We start from the raw sequence: 21,872 nt of genomic DNA on the forward strand, positions 1-21,872 counted from the left end.
GGTTTCTTTGTGATGGAGGGACCCTATCCTTTCTCATGTCTGAAAACTGCTCTGCCACAGGGTAAATGATTCAGAAAGTTTCTGATTCAGCCACAAATGAAACTGGGGAAGCCTCATTAAAGGCACTAATGAGCGCTCCCTTTCATCGCAGGCACTGTCTTGACATCTCCATAGATGTCTCTGCAATGATGGGCCCCTCCCTGTGTACTGCCTGGGAGAGCAGCCAGGGCGAACCTGCAATGGGGGCTGAGCTCTGTGAACAAAAGAAGCCTCCCTTCTGAAAGGCAAGCCCAAGTTGAAGTCATCAGACAGAGATAACTGAGCTACGGGCCCTCAAGGCTACACTGGAGCAGGTCTGAGGCCAGCCCAGACTCTTGTCATTAGAACAGTCTGCAAGACATATGGCTGGCATTTTGCTGACCAAGCCCCTAGAAAAGGTACGAATGAATTGTTTTACATCATTTTAAAAGGATCTGTGGTATTGTGCAAAAACAGAAAGTCTTATTTCCAGATAGCAAAGAAAAGTTTTAAAAAAGAGATCTAGCCAGGCGTGGTGGCTCGCACCTGTAATCCCAGCACTTTAGGAGGCTGAGGCTGGCAGATCACGAGGTCAAGAGACTGAGACCATCCTGGCCAACATGGTGAAACCCTGCCTCTACAAAAAATACAAAAATTAGCTGGGCGTGGTGGCGCGCGTCTGTAGTCCCAGCTACTCAGGAGGCTGAGGCAGGAGAATTGCTTGAACCCAGGAGGTGGAGGTTTCAGTGAGCCGAGATTGTGCCACTGCACTCTAGCCTGGCGAAAGAGTGAGACTCCATCTCAACAAAAAGGCAAAAAAAAAAGACCTATGTCTTTTGATTTCATTTTCCTTGAGAGAAGCAAGACGTCTTGTGGTTTGTTTCATGAAATATCTGATCATAGAAAGGGGGAGGTGGTTCATAGATTATAAAATGTTGTCATTCTAAAACTGCGAGTTATACATTTCATATCACACATTACAATTACATTTGGGAGGAACCGTGCTTTCTCACACGGCAAGATGTCCAGGACAAGAACACAAGAGGAAACTTAGGCAAGTCTGCATAAGGTTCTAGGTGGACATCTCCTATTCCAGTGGTCTCCCCTCAGGCCTCTCCACCAGCAACGGTGCAGTGAGAGTAACAGAGAAATAGACCCAGGCCTGGTGGGAGGTTGGAAGGCAGCAAATATAGATAATTGAGCAAAAATAGATAATTTGTTGAAAAGGAGACCCACATCGGCCAGGTGCGGTGATTCACGCCTGTAATCCCAGTACTTTGGGAGGCTGAGGTGGATGGATCACAAGGTCAAGAGATCTAGACCAGCCTGGCCAACATGGTGAAACCCTGTCTCTACTAAAAATACAAAAATTAGCTGGGCGTGGTGGCACGTGCCTGTAGTCCCAGCTACTTGGGAGGCTGAGACAGGAGAATCATTTGAACCTGGGAGGGAGAGGTTGCAGTGAGGTGAGATCACACCACTGCACTCCAGCCTGGCGACAGAGCAAGACTCTGTCTCAAAAAAAAAAAAAAAAAAAAAAAAAAAAAAAAAGAAAAAGAAAAGAAAGAAAGAAAGAAAGAAAAGTAGACCCACACCAAAGAGTGTTACCTTGCATGTAACTTTAAAGCAAATGATTTTCCTTCTGTTTAGATAACAAAGAAACCAAATATTGCTTATGTCTTTAAAAATACTTGGTATGGAAATAGGTTGGTGTGGATCGGATAAATTGCTGTGGAAAGTCTGACTCAGATGAACTGGAGCAGAGTGGCCCTGCTCAGTGGGAAGAAAGGCACCTTCAAGGTGACAGCGTAAAAGATGAGACTATAAATAACTCCGGCCATCAGTAAGGGCACTCGATATGTTCCTACCATTCAGAGACAACAGAATTAAAGAGTTGGACAAACCAAAAGAGACCATCTGTCCAGGTCTGTCTTTGGGCAGGTGAATACCTAAACCATCAGAGCTGTCTCTTTATTTCTTGGGGATCTTATGTAGCAGGGATCCCCAACCCCTGGGCCACAGACTGGCTGCACAGCAGGAGGCGAGCCGTGAGAGAGTGAAGCTTCATCTGTATTTACAGCCACTCCCCATTGCTCACATTACCACCTGGGCTCCACCTCCCATCAGATTAGCAGTGGCATTAGATTCTCACAGGAGCACGAACCCTGTTCGTGAACTGTGCTTGCCAGGGATGTAGGCTGCATGCTCCTTATGAGAATTCAATGCCTGATGATTTGTCACTGTCTCCCATCACCCTCAGGTGGGACCATCTAGTAGCAGGAAAACAAATTCAGGGTTCCCACTGATTCTACATTATGTTGAGTTGTAGAATTATTTCATTATATATTTCAATGTAATAATAATAGAAATAAATGTAATGTGCTTAAATCATCCTGAAACCATCCCCCAACCTCAGTCCTTGGAAAAATTGTCTTCCATGAATCAGGTCCCCGGTGCCAAAAAAGTTGGGGACCACTGGGACCATACACCCTTCAACAGAACATGACAGGTCTGCATAAGATTCAAGGTGTTTTCCCTGACATTAGATAGAAAACTCTTCTGTTATATATTTGTAGCTATTTCTGCATACTAATGCTGCCTCATTTGCTGACTTATCATTCTGAAAGTTCCTTCCGTAAAAAAGAAAGGCTTAAAAAATACATTCTAATGATACGTGCCTTCTCTGTCTGTGCACACAGTGTCAGATAGAAAGCAACTTCTTATCCTTCCAATGAAGAACACGGAATAGCTGAGTCTTTGCCAGACATAGCCTGATGGGAACCCTGTGGTGTGGCCCTCTTCATGGGGAGTTCAGTGTGATCAGGTTGAGCCATATTTATGTGATGTCACCTAGGCAGGGATTAACACTGGCTTTACGTGGACATCTCCTATTCCAGTGATCGCCCCTCCGGTCTCTCCACCAGCAACAGTACAATGGGAGTAACAGAGAAATAGACCCAGGCCTGGTGGGAGGTTGGAAGGCACTAAGCCAGCCGGACTAGTGCCAAACTTAGAAACAAAAGGGAAGAAGTTGAGTGAATGAACAGGGGCATAAAAAGGAAGGGATTTCTTTGGTAGGTATGACAAAAACAACCAAGTCCATATCTTAAATATTTTCTCTCCAGTAAAATTTTAATGTCACTTTGGGATAGGGTCTGTATGGTTAGTCTTCTTCTAAACCTGGGTCCAGCTGCTTGGTTTTGTCATGTGATTTTTTTTAAGTAATGGTGAATTTGTAATAGGTTTCTTTCTTCTCTTTCTCTCCTATGACAGACCGGGGAAAGGGGCTTACAACCAGAATGCTATCAAATCCTTTATGAAACATTTGGGGCTAATTACCCTTGCTGGAAGTCTCAGGATTTTTTTCCTTGCAGTTTTTTTTTCCATTTTAATGGAACACAGTTCAAGTCTCATAAATGCTTAAATATGTAGTCGTAAAGTTTCAGATGTCTCATGGGCACCGCTGTCTGCAAATCTACCAGGCAGGGCTCTGCAGAGGTTCAAATTCGAACTGGTTTCCGCCTCTCACAAAGTGTGTTATATAAGCTGGGCTGGGAGAATTTACATGCTCCATGCGGCCATTTAATAAAGCTCACTTGATTATAGAGCCAGGGTCACCCCAGGAAATCTTGCCACCTCCCCATTTAAACAGTGAGAGGGAACTATGCATTTGGCTGTTGTTGCTTTCTCCTGATCCAGTTATCCCCAGGAAGTGATCCTTCATTTCCTTGCTCATGACTGCAGGCTTCAAGGAAGAAGCCAGACCAGGCCAGGGTCAGAGGCCCCAGTTTCAACTTCCTCTGGCTGCAAACAAAGCCATCAATCAGAGCACAGGCATTATTTACACATTCCCTAGGAGTTGCCTTCTTGCGTCTCAGAGCAATGCACCAGCACGTAGTTAGGGAAGTAAAAAACAGGACTGCCCCTCTGTGGAATAATTATGGACTTCACAACTATGAGTTGGGATCAAAAGGGGGACAATCAAGGGATGCCACTGGTTTATGTCCCTTTCCTGACCCAGATGCCTGGGGAGAGCCAGTGAAGTCAGAGGCACATGCAAGTTCTTCCTGCACCTCAGAGCTAGGAGAATGAACTCTGCTGGACTCTTTAGGCAGATGCTTCCCTGAACGCAAGAATCTTTCTGATGCCCTGAGGGCTAAGGCTAGAACCAGGAAGTTGAAAGAGGTGCTCGTTACTCAGAATCCCTGTCCCTACCTCAGCCATATTGTCAACCAAGTCAGCGAACGCTAGAGACTTCAGGAGGAGAAGGGAGTGTTTTCTCACCATAAAAAAAATTCTAGGTGCTCCTATGTCATCGTCACTTGTTTATTTACCTAATGCAACTTTCCCAAGTCATGTACATGTGTCTTTTAGACACTGAACACATCCCACTCCCTTGGGTCAGTCTGGAAACTCTGGTGTAGACTCGGCCACCAACTCACATTTTAGTGATCCTTTACCTTGGGAAAATTGCCCAATCTTTTCTTTTTTTCTCATCTTTGCTTTCACATCTTCCAAATTCCACTTCTGTTCTTTTACTCGCCTTCTCCTTGCCAAGTGATTGGTCCACTGAAGACCAGCATGGCCAGCCTATAAAGGTTGTAAAGAAAGAACTGGCAAGGTAAGGTGTGTGTCAAATGGGTGATGTGTTCTGTCTGTGTGTCTGTCTGTCTGTCTCCATGTGTCTATCTCTCGATGCCTGTCCTATACCTGGCTGAGTGCTGTGAGCTGGCCATGCTTCAATAAACAGCAGACTTGACCTCGGGGAGCTTATGGCACAAAGAAGAGGAAGGCAGACATGGGACAAATGATTATAGACAAGAGGAGCGCTCATATGGGGAAGCTTGGGAGGCTTCAGGAAGGTACCTGAGCTGTAGGACTTCAGAGAGGAGATTGTTGTGGGTTATGTAAGGTCATCACAGAAACCTTCCATCAAGGCATGTCTGAAAGGCTGGGTAGGAATCTAACCACCTGAAAGGAAGAATTGCATTAGCCTGCAGCCTTCCAGGCTACGGACACTTCAGGTAGGAAAGCGGAGACCTGAGTGTCCCAGGGGTTTTGGGGACAAGGAATAGAGCAGTTGACTACGTGGATGCTATGGATGCGCTAGGAGAAAGAGGCAAGTTTGGAGATATTAGCACTCTCTATATACACTTAATCTTCACCAGACCGCTATCATTCCCAATTAAACAGACAAGGAAACTGAGACACAGAGGCTGAATTGCCCAAAATCTCACAAACAGTAAATAATTGAGTGGGATTTTAAACAAGGGGAGCTTGTTGCAGAGTCCACTGACTTAAAACCAGGGCACTCAGTTACCCCTCTCTGTGGTAAGATGGAGTGGAGTTGGGAAGGTCTTGGATGACCAAACCAAGATCTGTGGTCATACGGGATGCCTAGGGGAGTCTGTCAAAACTGGATTTAGTTATCATTTATAAAAGAGACACACATGCAACATGCATACACACACACACACGTGCACACACACACACACACACACATATATATACACCATGTCTAACATTTTCACTCAAATACATGCCATAGTACAGCAGAAGCCTCCAGTGTTTAATCTGTGCTTCTCCTCCTGCATGTCTTGGTAAAGAACATAGATCCTTCTGCCATCACTTTGGATCTGTTTGAAACTTTCCCAAATGCCTCATTGGATGGTTATTCTCCATGTCATCCAGAGTCAAGAAGAGTAACTCTGTCCTGTCCTTTTCAAATATTCTGGCCTGTGCATGTCCACTCAAAAAAAATAAGCAAAAAAATAAAACAAACTTATCAGGCGGGGCATAGTGGCTCATGCCTGTAATTCCGGCACTGAGAGGCCAAGGTGGGAAGATCGCTTGAGGCCAGGGATTCAAGACCAGCCTGGGCAAAAATAGGGAGATCTTGCCTCTATAAAAAATAAAAAGTAAATTGAAAAAAAAAAAAACACCTTATCAGTGTGTTCCAGGATTTTCTTGTTATTGTGCAAGCAAATATGGTTCTCATTAAATGGACTTGTAATAAATAAATGTTATTCACTTATGCTACTAAAATGTCATGTTGAAATATATATATATATTTTTAAGATACAGGATTCTCACTGTTGCCCAGGCTGGAGTGCAGTGGTACAATCATAGCTTAATGCAATGATAAACACCTGGGCTCAAGCGATCCTCCCTCCTTAGCCTCCCAAAGTGCTGGGATTACTGGTGTGAGCCACTGTGCCCAGCCTGAAATCTATTTTACATATTCGGAGTTTAGTATAGAATTCTGCCAAAGGTCTTTGCTGCTGAAATCTTTGGCCCTAAAATAGGCAATCAAGAGCCACTAAAGGTACTGATATCTCAGCAGACAAGTGACTTATACAATGATGGATAAACGGAATGAAGGTGAAGATGACTGGATGAAGATGGGGAGGGGTTAGGAGCATTTTGCAGGCAGCTCTAGGGTACAGCATGGGCAAAAAGGGTCTGAGCAGAGAGCAGGTGGTGGGGATGAGGAGAATTGATAAGCCCATGGAAAAGAGGATTTTTTTTTTTTTTTTTTTTTGAGACAGAGTCTCACTCTGTCACCCAGGCTGGAGTGCAGTGGCACAGTCTCGGCTCACTGCAACCTCCGCCTCCCAGGTTCAAGCGATTCTCCTGCCTCAGCCTCCCTAGTAGCTGGGACTACAGGTGCGCACCATCATACCCAGCTAATTTTTGTATTTTTAGTAGAGACAGGGTTTCACTATGTTGGCCAGGATGGTTTTGATCTCTTGATGTCGTGGTCTGCCCGCCTCGGCCTCCCAAAGTGTTGGGATTACAGGTGTGAGCCACTGCGCCCAGCCGAGAGGATTTTTAATAAGTTAAAATGCAAACAATTTATTTGATCATTCAAATATTATGGCATTTGCAATCATGTTCAAGCTACCTAAAGTATGGGCAGTTGTGAGTGCTTAGGAACTGGAGTTTGTTTATTTTCATTGTTGATTAAATCTTTTATGGAATAAATACAATTCAACACATGCCAATGGATGGTCTTCAGTGACTGTGTAACCACTTTTAAAGGCCTTTCACTTTCAAGATCGATAAACTCAGTAAAGGCAGGTTCTGCTATTGACAATCAGGGTGAAAGACGTTGTTGGCCCTGGTATGGGTGAATCTGTGAGACGAGCTCCCAAGTTCTAGGTTCTAGTGATCAAAAAAAAAAAAAAAAAGAAAGAAAGAAAGAATAGGATGGGGTAATGAGAAGTTTTCTACTTGCATTTTCTAAAAGTTAACTTTTCAAGTACAGCTTTGATTACTTACACGAAGTTTAGTTCACACAGGAATTTATACATGACTTCAAGTTGAGTTTTCTTTTAGTATTCATCTTCCAGATTTGGGAAATACATCATGGGTCTTAAAAACTCACATCTAGGCCCATACTTAATCAAAAAGAACTCTGGGAATATTTTGTTCTTGTAGCTCCACATATGGAAGACCAGAATTGATATTGCCAAGACTTTTCAAAAGCCTGAGATTACTTGTATTTTGTAAGACCCTTTATGACTTACAAAGCAATTCCACAAATTTTTAGTCTTCACATCAGTACTATTAGATAGATTTTATAAATCCTTATTTTATAGACGAGGGCACTAAGAGCCAGAGTGTGTAAGGGACATCCCAAGTCACACAGTTAATAAATGCTACCGAGTTGATACTGGAGCCTAGGTTTTCTGACAAGGCTCAAGCTGCACCCTAAACCATGGAGATTTCTCAGCGTCTTGTTTCAGAAGCACTGGGGTATGGAAAGCAGCACTCACATCTGTGGGTTTTTCTCTTTGGAATGCATGAAATAAGATGTTAGTCATTTTCCATGTCATCAAGAATCAACACTTCTTATGACAGATCACAACATCTCAGAAAATATTTCTTTCATTAGCCACATTACTGACTTACTTCACAACTCTTTGCTGGGGAAGGAGTCTTTGGGGTTAATTTGGTCTGACCTTAGCCCATGTTAGGAATTCTCCTCCACACACAGCTGGTCCTGTGGAGATGAAAAACATGTACACACCCTAAAATCCTGTCCCAGATGAGTGGCTTTAGGGGATGCTAAATTCCCAGGCAGGCGGAGGCAAAAAAAGAAAGGGACATTTGGCCTTTGCCATGATGACTACATTTGACTGATGTTTCAGTGTGATGTTATTTCTGGCATCATCTTGATCTGTAACTCAAGACTGGTTTTAACTTGGGAAAGTCTGAATCTTCACAGATTTCATTTCTGTCTTATCTCCTCCACTGAAATTCAACTAATTTAACACTGTGTTGATCTAGCGCTGGAGGGGACAGAAAAACAAGTAAGACCTGATCTTCCCACTAGAGGTGCCTATGGTAGGGTAGGAGATAGAAGACATGATGTAAATAATTGTAAAAAAATGCCATGACAAGGCAGAATGGACCAGGTAGGATAACAGAAGGAGCAAGTGAGGTGGGGACTTAAGATTTCCTGGAGGAATCTGCCTTTCCAGCCTCTCTCTCTTCCACCCTCCCCTTTACTCACTATACTCTAGCCACACTGTCTTCCCTCTCTTCCCACCATGTGCCACATTCGTTTCTGCCTCAGGACATTTGCACGCCCGCTTCCCTTTTCCCTGTGTCCTTTCCTGAGAATTTTGCTTGGCTCATTCTTTTTCCTCATTTGGGTTTCAGCTCAGATGTCATCATGTCAGGAAGTCCTCCCCGATGACCTTATCCTGCTTATTTGTTTACTTATCTTCTCTCTTGCCATGGAGAATGGAAGCTTCCCTTATATTTGAGAGTCACAGATAAGCTAAGACAAGAACATAATGCTGCTCAAAAAATACTGAGATTCGAAGGGAGTAGAGAGAGAGAAAAGGACAAGACTGAGAATTCCTCTTTGGGTTTATTCATTTAGGTGGGATGAGGAGCAAGAGAAACTAGCAATGAGAAGGCTCAGAGAAGGAGGAAGAAGGGCAGGCTAGGGCCGGGAGAGAGAAGCCAAGGGTGCTGGGTGCTTCCACAGAAGGAGCTACAGAAACATTGAGGCAGATGGGGAAATGGCAGTGGGTGTGACAACCGAATGGCCATTGGTGATCCTTCGGGGAAGGAGGGACAGCAGGAGCAGAGGTCAAGGTTATGAGGGCATATGGAGTGGTTGGTGAGGATGCGGGGCGCCAGGAAGAGTGAGTTGCACCTGATGGCTAGTAGGGAAGGAAGGAGAGAGGTAGTGCGCCATCTTGGGATCGTAGCAGGCTTGAGAGAACGTATTTTCTAAGATTGATGGGAAGATCTAAGTTTGAATGCAGACTCAAAGGAAAACTACAGAGGGAGATATTGAAGATGAAAGAAGTGGGGAAAGTTGAAAGAGAAAGCTGCTGAAAGAGGTGGAGTAGAAGGGCTGGAGAGTACAGATGAAGGGATCCAACCAGCCACATTTCGGGGAGTTGTGCTGATCGACAGGACAAATGTTAAGGTGATCAGGTATCACAATCTAAAATTTTGGCTGGGCGTGGTGGCTCATGCCTGTAATCCCTGCCCTTTGGGAGGCTGAGGTGGGTGAATCACCTGAGGTCAGTAGTTCAAGACGAGCCTGGCCAACATGGTGAAACCCCGTCTCTACTAAAAATACAAAAATTAGCCAGGCGTGGTGGCGGGCGCCTGGAATCCCAGCTACTTGGGCGGCTGAGGCAGGAGAATCCCTTGAACCCAGGAGTCAGAGTTTGCAGTGAGCTGAGACTGCATCACTGCACTGCAGCCTGGGCTACAGAGTGAGACTCTGTCTCAAATAATAATAATAATAATAATAATAATAATAATAATAATAAACAATCTAAAATTTTACAGAGAAGTGGTTGGGGCAAATATCTGTTCTCTTTGCTTTTTCAAGTTTTGGAGTTCTTAAGAAGTTCTTTAAGATATTCATCTTACATTGGGAAGGGGCTTGTTTCAGAGCCAATTAAATCCAGTTTAATTTAAAATCTCCAAGATGAAGGAAGTATGACTTTCCCCATGATGTATGTTTTTTTTTCTTTTTATACTCTTTTTTCTGATTTTTCAAGTAATATATGCTTTTTATTTTTATTATTATTATTTTTTAAATGGAGTGGCTGCCTGGGCGTGGTGGCTCATGTCTGTAATCTCAGCACTTGGGGAGGCTGAGGCAGGACAACTGTTTGAGGCCAGGAGTTCAAGATTAGCTTGGGATACACAGCAAGACCCTATCTCTACAAAAAAATTTTTAAAAAGGAGCCAGGTGTGGTGGCACACACCTGTAGTCCCAGTTGCTTGGGAGGCTGAGGATGGAGGATCACTTGAGCCCAGGAGTTGGAGGCTGCAGTGAGCTAAGATGGCACCACTACATTCCAGCCCAGGTGACAGAGCGAGACCCTGTCTCTAAAAAAGAAAACAACAACAAAAAAAGAAGACACCAAAAAGTGAAAGGAATTTAAAATGTACCTGTAATTCCTACCCCAAAATAACTGCTATATGTCAAAGAGCAGAAATTCTAGAAGCATGATGGTTCAAATCTGGCTCTGTCTCTTCTTACTGAGAGGTAGTTGCAAATTATGTAAACTTTATTTTTTAATTTTAATTTTTTATTTTTTGAGATGGAGTCTCACTCTGTCAACCAGGCTGGAGTGCAGTAGCATGATCTCAGCTCACTGCAGCCTCTGCCTTCCAGGTTCAAGTGATTCTCCTGCCTCAGCCTCCCGAGTAGCTGGGACCATGGTGCCCACCACCATGTCGGCTAATTTTTTTTCGTATTTTTAGTAGAGAAGGGGTTTCGCCATGTTGTCCAGACTGGTCTATAAACTCCTGACCTCAGATGATCCACCCGCCTCAGCCTCCTAACATGCTGGGATTACAGGTGTGAGCCACCCTGCCCGGCCCAAATTATGTAAACTTTAACGCTCAGTAGTTCTCTTCTGTAGGATGAGGATGGTGGTCATAGCTATTACCTTACACCAGCTGATGTGAGGACTAAATTATCTCCAGAACCTGTAGCCCATATGGGAAGTACTCAAAGGCCCCTGCTTTTATGATAATGCCGTTTTCCTCCCAGGCTCTTCCATATAGATGCTCTTCCCCTTGTGAAACTCAGGTTGCTTTGCAGGAACAATTTTGTGTCCTGTTTTTGTTCTCATCTACCCTTAGCTTGTGAACATTTTCCCATAACATCTACATTTCCCTTTTTATTCTAAAGGGAGCTATGGCACGATGCCCCCAAGAAAGTGATAACTACATACCATAGTCCCCCATTATCTAGAGTTTTGCTTTCCAAGGCTTTAGTTAACCATGGGTCAACCGAAGTCCAAAGATGGTCAATGGGAAATTCCAGAAATAAGAATTCATAAGTTTTAAATTGCATGTCATTCTGAATAGTGTGAAGATATCTCACACCTTCCCACTCCATCCCGCCTGGGACATGGACCCTCCCTTTGTCTAGCTCCTGCTGTCCACATTACTCACCCACTAGTCACCTAGTAGCCATCTTGGTTCCCAGATCGACTGTCTTGAGGTCATAGTACTTATATTCAAGTCACTCTTATTTTACTTAATAGCCTCAAGCACAAGAGCAACGAATCTGGCATATTGTTAGAATTGTTGAATTTATTAGTTATAGTGGTTAATCTCTTACTATGCCTAATTTATAAATGAAACTTTATCCAAAGTAATGTATATATAGTGTATATAGGGTTTGGTACTATTCGAGGTTTCAGGCACCCACTGAGGCTCTTGGAAGGGACCCCCTCAAGGATAAGGGTAGACAACTGCATATTGTCATAACTCTTGCAGTATCAATTATTTTTACCTTTTTTAAAGTTTAAGAACTCAGCATCATCATCATCATACTGGAAGCTCACTTTACAAAGAATCACCATAGGGCAGCAGCCGGTACTTATCCCTTCTCTACAAAAACAAATCACAAGCAAAAACCAGGATCCAGCCCTGTGCTAGGACATCAGGGCAGAAACAGACCAAAGCCTGCACAGTGTTCACTGCTCCATTTAGCCTTTGCTGCTTCTCCGCAGGTTGGGTTGTGTTGGTAAAGAAATAAACAAAAGGAGAGTCCCTCTTTCTAATCAGTTTCCTATTGCACTCGGTGGCTATATTAGTCTGTTCTCACACTGCTGATAAAGACACACCTGAGACTGAGTAATTTATAAAGAAAAAGTGGTTTAATGGACTCACGGTTTCACATGGCTGGGGAGGCCTCACAATCATGGTGGAAGGCAAAAGGCATGTCTTACATGGCAGCAGGCAAGAGAGAGCGTGTGCGGGGGAACTCACACGTTTACAAAACCATCAGATCTCCTGAAACTTATCCACTATCATGAGAACAGCACGGGAAAGATCCGCCCCCATGATTCAATAACCTCCCACCGGGTCTCTCTCATGACACATGGGAATTGTGGGAGCTACAATTCAAGATGAGATTTGGGTGGGGACACAGCCAAATCCAATCAGTGGCTCCAGGGGCTCAAGTCATGGGAAGGGGAATTGAGAGGAGAAATTCCCCTTCCAGCACCATCAGGGCCCTGCAGACCCTGGTGTCACCATCCATGCATGGCAGCAGTGCCCTATGCTCTGTGGCTGGCAGCCTGTGTGAGTTATTGGGGTCATCATCACAGCCCTGCCAAGGCAGCACCTGCAGTTCATCTCAGATCCACTGGCTTGGGTTCAAAACCCCGTACCAAACCCTTTCAGAGTGCTGGTGTTTGGTGCAGGGTCTTCTCTCAAACCCCTCTCTCATGTTACACTTTTAACTTGCGATGCATTAGATTGTAAGTGGGCTAGAAATTATCGGCACATTATCTTTAAAAGCAATATGGATTTTCTTCTAATAAAAGCCATTCACTTCAATTCTTTTAGCCATGGACACAATTTTCTTTCTTAGGGCCAGTTTTTCAAATGTCACAGACTACTAACAAAGCATACCTCATATTCAATTGTCTATGGTAAGGTAGTCTTCCAACTCTTCCAACCCCATGTTAATAATTCTGCTTTTTTTTTTTTTGAGACGGAGTATCACTCTGTCACCCAGGCTGGAGTGCAGTGGCTCAATCTCAGCTCACTGTAGCCTCTGCCTTCCGGGTTCAAGCGATTCTTGCACCTCAGCCTCCAGAGTAGCTGGGACTACAGGCGCTCACCACCACGTCCAGCTAATTTTTGTATTTTTAGTGGAGACGGGGTTTCGCCATGTTGGCCAGGCTGGTCTCGAACTCCTGACCTAAAGTGTTCTCCCTGCCTCAGCCTTCCAAAGTGTTGGGATTACAGGTGTTAGCCACTATGCTTGGCCTAATTCTGCTCTTAAATGCCATTTGATGATGGGTGATCCATCGTACTCCTAATCCAAGTCACTGAAGTATCTGGTGGCTACATGGACTACCAATACAGCAGGGTGGAGGAGATTCCCTCTGGCCCTGGGCATTTCTTTTCTGCAGATGAGCTGCAGTACTAGTCCTCAGGCCTTTGCATATGGCTAGAAACCAACCCTTGAAGTCTGGGGCTACAGTTCCCTCCTTAATGAAAAACACATTGTAATACCAGAAGTGGCGCCTGATGGCAAGCTTATTTGCCAACGTGGAGCCAGTGCCCTGCCGGGGTCTACTTTGTTTTGGAATTTCTAGCGTATTAAAGGCCCTAAAGAGAAACTGTGTTCCATATGTGGAGATAACCAGCCTTCCAGAAAAGCACAATGAAAAGGAAGGTGGGGCTGTGAGTAGTCAATGCTGAGAGAAAGGGAAAGACATTATTAGAATACATAAAGCAGTATGTATGAGGAATATTCCGGTATTTTCCAGTTTCTCCCATTCTTGGCTTGAAATCGGTTATGCATGTGAAAAACACCCAGGTGGCTTTTATTTTACACCCTTTCAAATTCATCTCTACAGTTGTTGCAAAGGGATCTTCCTAGAAAGGCAGATTCCCAGGAGTACTTCAATACTGAGTAAAATACTAATAATGAAATACTACCATTTACGGAGCACCTTGTTTGTGCTATACAGTGTGCTAAGTGATTTAGGTAGAATTCTTTTTTTTCTTTTTTTCTTTTGTTTTTTTAGACAGAGTCTCACTCTGTCACCCAGGCTGGAGTGCAGTGGCACACTCTTGGCTCACTGCAAACTCTGCCTCCCAGGTTGAAGTGATTCTCGTGCCTCCGCCTCCTGGGTAGCTGGGACTGCAGGCATGAGCCACCACACCCGGCTAATTTTGTACTTTTAGTAGAGATGGGGTTTCGCCATGTGGGCCAGGCTGGTCTTGAACTCCTGACCTCAAGTGATCAGCCTGCCTTGGCCTCCCAAAGTGCTGGGATTACAGGCATGAGCCACTATGTCCAGCCTTATGTAGGTTCTTTATCTCTAGAAGAAACTGATTTTGACCCCGTTTAACAGAAGACAAAACTGAGGCTCAGGACAACAAAGTTGCTTGCCAAGTCCATGCACGGGTAAATGGTGGAGTTGGAGTATGGACCTGTGTCAGTCTGACACTGAAGTCACCAAGGCTCATCTTGTGTACGCCATGATGCTAATCTAAAATTTCTAGCAAAGGGAAAAGAAAATAATTGTGGATGTATGGCTGTGTATTTTTCTGAGCGGCAGAGAAAACTGTTAGTTTACTAGACAATTAAGCAGTGAGTACTAAGATTCAAATGAATCGACTTGAATTTTCCAGCAGCATTAAGATTTCATAAAACAGCAAGAGGTTGGATGACAAAACAAAACAAATGGGCTACTCCCTGGTGTTGGCCCTTAGCAAAATCCTGGGAAGGGGGAAAGTGTAGACGTTGAGCATTTTTGAAAACTGAGATTCACAATAAGTTCCACATTTGTTCTGATCCTCCCTCCAGCCCCCACACTGGGCACTTTCTCAAGGCCTGAGAACTGGGTGTCTGCTTGTCCAGAACATTCTTGCTAAATAATTGGCTTAGAAAGTCGTGAAAGGCGTCAGTGGCTCTGAACCACGGGGAAACCCAAACAGTTTATGAAGAACAAGATCAGCCCGCCTTCTAGTGGATGGCTCCGACTCCGCAGAGCTATGTGTGGAAAGGCAAAGCCGGCCTTGAAGCTGAAACTTTCAACAAACAGGCAGAGACCTTAGGGAGGTTACAGTGTGCCAGTGTTTATGTTTCTGCATCTAACCCTTCCTTTTTGTTTTTTGTGAGACAGAGTTTCGCTCTTGCTGCCCAGACTGGAGTGCAGTGGTGCAATCTGGGCTTACTGCAATCTCTGCCTCCCGGGTTCAAACAAGTCTCTTGCCTCAGCCTCCCGTCTAGCTGGGACTACAGGCATGCACCACCATGCCCGGCTAATTTTTTGTATTTTTAGTAGAGACAGGGTTTCACCATGTTGACCAGGCTGGTCTCAAACTTCTGACCTTAGGTGATCCACCCGCCTCAGCCTCCCAAAGTGCTGGGATTATAGACGTGAGCCACCACGCTCAGCCATACCCCTCCTTTTTGATTAGCACTTTATCATAAACAGAGTCCAGAGAAAAAGGAGGAAGAGTAAAAATCCTCCTTCGCTAGAGAAAGCACAGTGTCTCAAGATTTAGAATCTAGCTGGCAACTGGGAATCTTTGGTGTTATTTCTGCGAGCAATGTGAATTCATTGGGTTGAACAAATGGCTAGCCCTTTTTGCATTTTCAGTTTTCCATTCCATTTATTCTTTATTGTGTCCTTGTATCTTTCTGGCCCCTAAAACTCGCTCACTCACTCCTTTTCTTTCTCTCTGTACTGTAAGCCACTTACAAAGTTGATTACATACGGCGACTAGGAACCCACCGCTCTTTCCCCACACCTTTCCCTTTGCTTGCCTTTTTTCTTTTTTTGAAAACCCTCCCCTCTCTAAGAGCCTATGTAAACCCTGCCTGTTCTTCAACTTCCTCCCTAGATCCTGCTCTCGGCACAGCTTGCTTCTTCCTCTGAAATCCAGTGGTATTTCTTGTCGGGATTTCTCACCTGGCCCCATACGCTACTGCAGTACATTGCTAGTTATCTCTTTCCTACTTAGGCGAGTGATTTACCTAGCTATTCTGAAAGGTGCAGCAAAGACTGTCTCCTATCCTTTTGTGTTTCTTTCTCGTTATCAGCACACCAACTGGCTTCTAACTCATTAAAGATTGCGTGATTGGAATGTAAAACAGTCGCGTGAACAACAGCCATGACCATTGTTTTTTTTTTTTTTTTTTTTGGAGACGGAGTCTCGCTCGTCGCCCAGGCTGGAGTGCAGTGGCGCGATCTCGGCTCACTGCAAGCTCCGCCTCCCGGGTTCACGCCATTCTCCTGCCTCAGCCTCCTGAGTAGCTGGGACCACAGGTGCCCGCCACCATGCCTGGCTAATTTTTTGTATTTTTAGTAGAGACGGGGTTTCACCGTGTTAGCCAGGATGGTCTTGATCTCTTGACCTTGTGATCCGCCCGCCTCGGCCTCCCAAACTGCTGGGATTACAGGCGTGAGCCACCGCACCCGACCAGTGTCTTTCTTTCTTTCTTTTTTTTTTTCCCCGCTCTTCTTGCCCAGGCTGGAGTGCAATGGCATGATCTCGGCTCACGGCAACCTCCGCCTCCCAGGTTTAAGCGATTCTCCTGCCTCAGCCTCCCGAGGAGCTGGGATTACAGGCATGCACCCCCACGCCTGGCTAATTTTATATTTTTAGTAGAGATAGGGTTTCTCCATGTTGGTCAGGCTGGTCTCGAATTCCTGACCTCAGGTGATCCACCTGCCTCGGCCTCCCAAAGTGCTGGGATTACAGGCACGAGCCACCGTGCCCAGGCTATTCTGCTTTTTACAATTATAACCAGTCTAGACAATTATAACCAATCTAGTTTCTTTGGATGGTTGAGATGTAGTCTTGATGGAAGAGAAGGGATTACATTGGACTAAGTTAACAATTTTCCCCAGCACTCTGAGTATTTTATTCTATGAAATGGCTTAAATATGGGAATTTTATTGGACAGCCTTGGCTGGGATTCTCAGCAATGGGCACTTGCAAGTATGAGAATCCCTTCTCAGTAAAAGTCCCCTCTCCCTGCAACAATGATCATCAGAGAATGTCTATCCATATTCAAAAGCTGTGAGTGGGCTAGGTGCGGAGGGTCACACCTTGTAATCTCAGCACTTTGGGAGGCCAAGGCAGGCAGATCATGAGGTCAGGAGTTTGAGACCAGCCTGACCAATATGGTGAAACCCTATCTCTACTAAAAATATAAAAATTAGCCAGGCGTGGTGGCGCGTGCCTTTGGCCCCAGCTACTTGGGAGGCTGAGAGAGAAGAATTGTTTGAACCCGGGAGGCAGAGGTTGCAGTGAGCTGAGATTGTGCCACTGCACTCCCCTCCGGGTGACAGAGCAAGACTGTTTCATAAAAAAAAAAAAAAAAAAAAAAAAAAAAGCTGTGAGTGATTTTTTTTTTTAGATTTGTAATCATCAGGTGACAGGTTCATTATTCTTCAAAGACCTTTTAGAGGAGGGTGTTTTAGACAATGGCCAGGTTGTGTCATGACAGCTGAGCTCGTTGTTTCATGGGTTTACCCGCTTCATGAGCTTGGGAGGCAAACCAGATATAACACAGTCGTGAAAATGAGGCCACTCCAAGCTCATGCATGTGCTCAGTTTCTACCCGGGAGCACTGTGAGAGCTGGCACTTGCTGCCCTTCTACTGCCATTCCTGGATCAGAGCCCTGCAACACGGGGTCAGCTGCAATTTGCCCCCCAGGGCTGAGTATCAACAGGCACTTCCCCTCGCTCTGAAAATGCTTGGGGGCATCCTCGTGCTCTCTATTTGGCCAAGAGAGAACACGAACCGCAGGTTATTTGGCCCAGACCAGTAGATGCCGTGGAAAAGGCACCGTGGCTGCCCCAGAACAGGCAAATCACAAAATGCTTGCCTTGGGAAGCATAAACAAAGCCTCATGGTGTAGGAGGGGCAGCCCCCGCCTTTGGATCCGGGATCAGAGGGAAGAGAGAATACAGGGCTGTTTAGATTTCTAGGAACCACTATCTCTGTGAACTTCACTCTGCTGTGAGCCCCAGGAAGTACCTGCTACCCAAGACACCAACAATTGCCTGCCTGGAATCTTTGGCGGCAGCTTGTTTCCTGACAAAATTGTTTGTCAAAAGCCTTCATTGAATTTCCCCTGGAAACTGAAAGGAAACTCACCACAGTTATGATAATAGTAACAATCGTACACTTATTTTGGAAACAGACGCTTTAATTTTTTGAGACGTTAAGGAATATTGTTCTCTATTCATCATTTCTCAGGTGACACAGAAAGCTCAGGCATCTCGAGATTTGCTTTGATTTTGTAGCCAGGGAGTAAATTGATAACTGTGACTGAACATTGATTGGACATGTACTATTTCTCAGGTTTGGTCTAAGTACTTTATATATATAGTCTCATTCATTCCTGAGGATAACACTATGTGGCAAATAAGGCTATTGCCATTTTATAGATGAGAGGATTTGGACTCCGAAGGGGAAGCGATTTGTCCTCAGACTTACCCTCTTGGAGTAAGGACTTATATATAATTCATGGACTTCAGGGCACATGCTCCTAACGCCATGCTAAGCTGACTGTCTGGGATGGGTTGACCGGCAGCCCACCTACCTGCACTTCCCAGTCTGTGTGGTAGTTGGGTGTGTGGTCATGTGACCAAGTTCTGGCCAATGAGAAGAAGAGGAGCCCCACTTCTTGGTCTGACCCATAAAAATCTCTCACCAGAGCTCTTCCATTCTCTGCCCTCCTTTTTTTTAAGTGAAGGGGACACTGAACCCAGAGGAGGGCAGGGCAGAGTCACAAGATGACATCGAATGATCCTATGGAAGGCTGTGTACCTACCAGAGCATGTTTAACTTTTTATGAGTTAGAAATAGATTTCTCTTGTGTTAAATCACTGAAATTTCCAAGTTATCCACTGCAGAAGCTAAAGTTACCTTAATTGATGACCCCTATAATAAAAATGGATTGAGCACAGTTAAAACATGACTGTAAGTGGACCCTTAGCCAGAATTTATCTCTCCTTCCAAACGGTATGCTCTCTCTCAATCTGTAGAGGATGTGGCCACAACTAGGAAATTCTCCGCCAACTTACAAAGATGAGAAAGACAACCCCATATCCTCTTTCCATTTTTCAAAGGGAGTTAACACGACATGAAAATAATCAGACTGCAGGACAATCATTCACTGGAAACCCATCTGGTGTGGTGATGAGCTCATACCCTTGAGAATGAAGAAAATTTCCATCTGAGGCTGGGCGGTGAGGCTTCCAAAATAGGCCAGCTGGTTTTCAAAAGGGCCAGTGGTGGGTATGACAGTGCTTAGTAGAGAGGGCCAGTGGCCAAGCTGTATAGGCAACATCATTGTAAATGATTTTAAACACACGATGCTTATTAAATAAGGCCACCTGATGGTTCAGAGCTCTTGTCCTCCCATCTGCCATAGCAACTTTGGTTTGATACCAAATGTGACTTCTGCCCATTCACCTCCCACCACCTCAGCCTAGTTAATTCCTACTTATCTTTAAGACCTCTGACCAAATAGTGCCTCCTCAAGTAGCTTTCTTCAACATCACAGAAAAGGCAAGGTCCCTCTTAGGTTACCAGGTGCCTTGTCCTCAAAGCATTGACCTCCAATTTTAATTTGACTTGAATTTGTCTAATCATTATATTAATGCTGCTGAGTAAATGATGTTAGATTTCCACCTTTATAAGAATATGGAATCATATTTTTTTTGTTTACCATTTCATCTCCAGGACTTAGCTCAATGTCTAGCACATAGAGGGTGTTCATTAATTATTTGTTAGATGAATGAACAAAGACATGAATGAATGAATGAATGAATTTACCATTCTACCTCCAGAACTTTGCTCAATGTCTGGTACATAGAGGGTGTTCATTAGTTATTTGTTAGATAAATGAACAAAAACACACGAATGAATGAATGAATGAATGAATGAATGAATGAATGAATCTTCATTTAATTAATGGAGAAGCGGAGGAATTTAGCCACTTGGCTTCCACAGCTGCTACTAGCCATCTTCTTCCAAATGACTTTATTGAAAGAGACTACTCCGAATACACCATTTCTTCTGTAGCTGATCATTGCCCCAGAACAAATGTCTAAAGTGTGGCTGTTGAGATCTCTCCCCAGAGGAGACCAGCCACTAACTTCTCTGAGCCTCGTTATGATACCATTATTTATAAAAATGAAGATGACAGTACTTGCCCCCCAGGGGTATTGAGAATCAAAAATAATAAAATGCATTTGGAAATATACTCTGAACATTTCAAAAAGATATGCATATATATGGTTTTTTTAGTGTCAAAACTTGTCTCTTACATGATGAAATTTTGAAAAGGCAAGCGTTTGTGAAGACTAGAACCTTTTGAGAATGGTAAGAAAATAGACTCTCTATTTAGTGAAATATGCATTTTTTCAAGGGAATAGCAGAGCAATTCGATTCCTGATCATCTCCACCAGCTCCACCACAAGAGACTCCCAAACAAATACAAATTAAGTAAAACCCTGGCTGTTCTCCTTCCAGTGGGATTACTATTCCTGAGCTCCATCTAAGTAGACCTTTAGAAGCCCTCAGTGTTCAAAGGTAGTTGGCTCTTGATCAAAAGCTCAAATTCTCAGTTGATTCCCACAGTGCTTTGGTGGTAGATTAGCATATGGCGGGAGAGACAGAACCCAAATTACTGGTGGCTGATGCAAAAACTGGCAGCTAATTGTAAACCTCCAAACAAAGTATTATTTACTCACTGAAACAAAGAAAAGTGCTTTCAAGGAGAATGAAAATATCCCTTATGTCATGTCAGATTCAAGAATATTTCATGAACAAAGTAAAAATTGAGCTGTTAGGTTGTTTGCAAATACTGTCCACATCAAGGAAGAACAATTTGAAAATGTAAGAAGTGAGAGTTTTGCTTTCCATCCTATTGCAAAAATATGTTTCCGTGTCAATTTAAGAAAGTACTGTTGCAAACGACAGGGTGAGTGAAATGGAAGCACACCAGTAGAAATGCAAACACATCTTCCTTTACTGACAGGCACCTACAGCCTTAATGAATGCCTGAAAAAAACTAAAACAAACAAATGTGCAGACTTGACAGAGAAATTTAATGAATTTACTAATTGTTCTTCCTTGGTGCAAGCCTCTTTTTTTTTTTTTTTTTTTTTCAACCACATATGTTGTAGATAATCAGAGAAAAGGCCAAGCCCACACCATATGTAGGCACTAAATAATATGCAGGGCATCGCTCTTTAAAACATACATTGCCATAACGAAATGATGAAAGGGGAACAGCAAAAATAGCAAATTGAGAATCAAAGCCCAACTTTCCACATGTGGAAACGTTTGGTTGGGTCATGGTAGAATCCATCAGTCCAAGACTGGTTGTATGAGCTGTTTGTGAAGATAAAAACGAATCATTGAAAACCCAATCTCATTTTAGAGGAATTGTCCTTTATTAGGAGAATGGATCATTGATGTCACTATAACTAATCATGTGGACAGCTGATAGAGATGCATTTTCAAAATGATTATTCTAGAAGTTCTGTTTCAAAAGCATATTTTCTATAAAGAAGAAAACACACAAAGCGTTCTACGTAATTACAAACCCTATTCTAGGTTGGTAGGTGTTCTTATATATTAGCTCACATGTTTTCTTATAGAGTGTGTGAGAAATTCAGTATCTATAGGTCATTGCAGGCCTGGCTCTGTGGTCTCCAGACAGCCAGTGTTAGAGCATTAGGTTAGGACTGCTTTGCAGGTTAGGAAAAGGACTCTCCTCAAATTCCTAACACATGGATGTTCATTCTAGCCACTGGTCCATATTTCCTTTCTAGAAGCAGCAGTGATGGGTGAACCA

The 21,872-nt window shown here is 43.9% G+C and overlaps 1 protein-coding gene across 3 annotated transcripts in view, besides 2 other annotated features; it reads right to left on the reverse strand.

Moving 5' to 3' along the window:
• The window catches only part of FRMD4A (FERM domain containing 4A), a 687,219-nt gene that overhangs the window by 298,405 nt on the left and 366,942 nt on the right, over positions 1-21,872 (reverse strand). The gene's annotated exons all lie outside the window — the stretch shown is intronic.
• Positions 98-282: a silencer, noted in NCBI's record as "fragment chr10:13984208-13984392 (GRCh37/hg19 assembly coordinates)". NCBI's record gives its function as "represses an EF-1alpha promoter that drives an FKBP-Casp9 reporter gene in an ReSE screen in K562 erythroleukemia cells {active_cell/tissue: K562}" and the evidence as "EXISTENCE:reporter gene assay evidence [ECO:0000049][PMID:32094911]".
• Positions 3,871-4,371: an enhancer, noted in NCBI's record as "H3K4me1 hESC enhancer chr10:13987981-13988481 (GRCh37/hg19 assembly coordinates)". NCBI's record gives its function as "activates a minimal SCP1, AML or CMV promoter by ChIP-STARR-seq in naive H9 embryonic stem cells {active_cell/tissue: H9 hESC(naive)}" and the evidence as "EXISTENCE:reporter gene assay evidence [ECO:0000049][PMID:30033119]".

The sequence above is a fragment of the Homo sapiens genome, chromosome 10 (assembly GCF_000001405.40).
Source record: "Homo sapiens chromosome 10, GRCh38.p14 Primary Assembly".
NCBI lineage: Eukaryota > Metazoa > Chordata > Mammalia > Primates > Hominidae > Homo > Homo sapiens.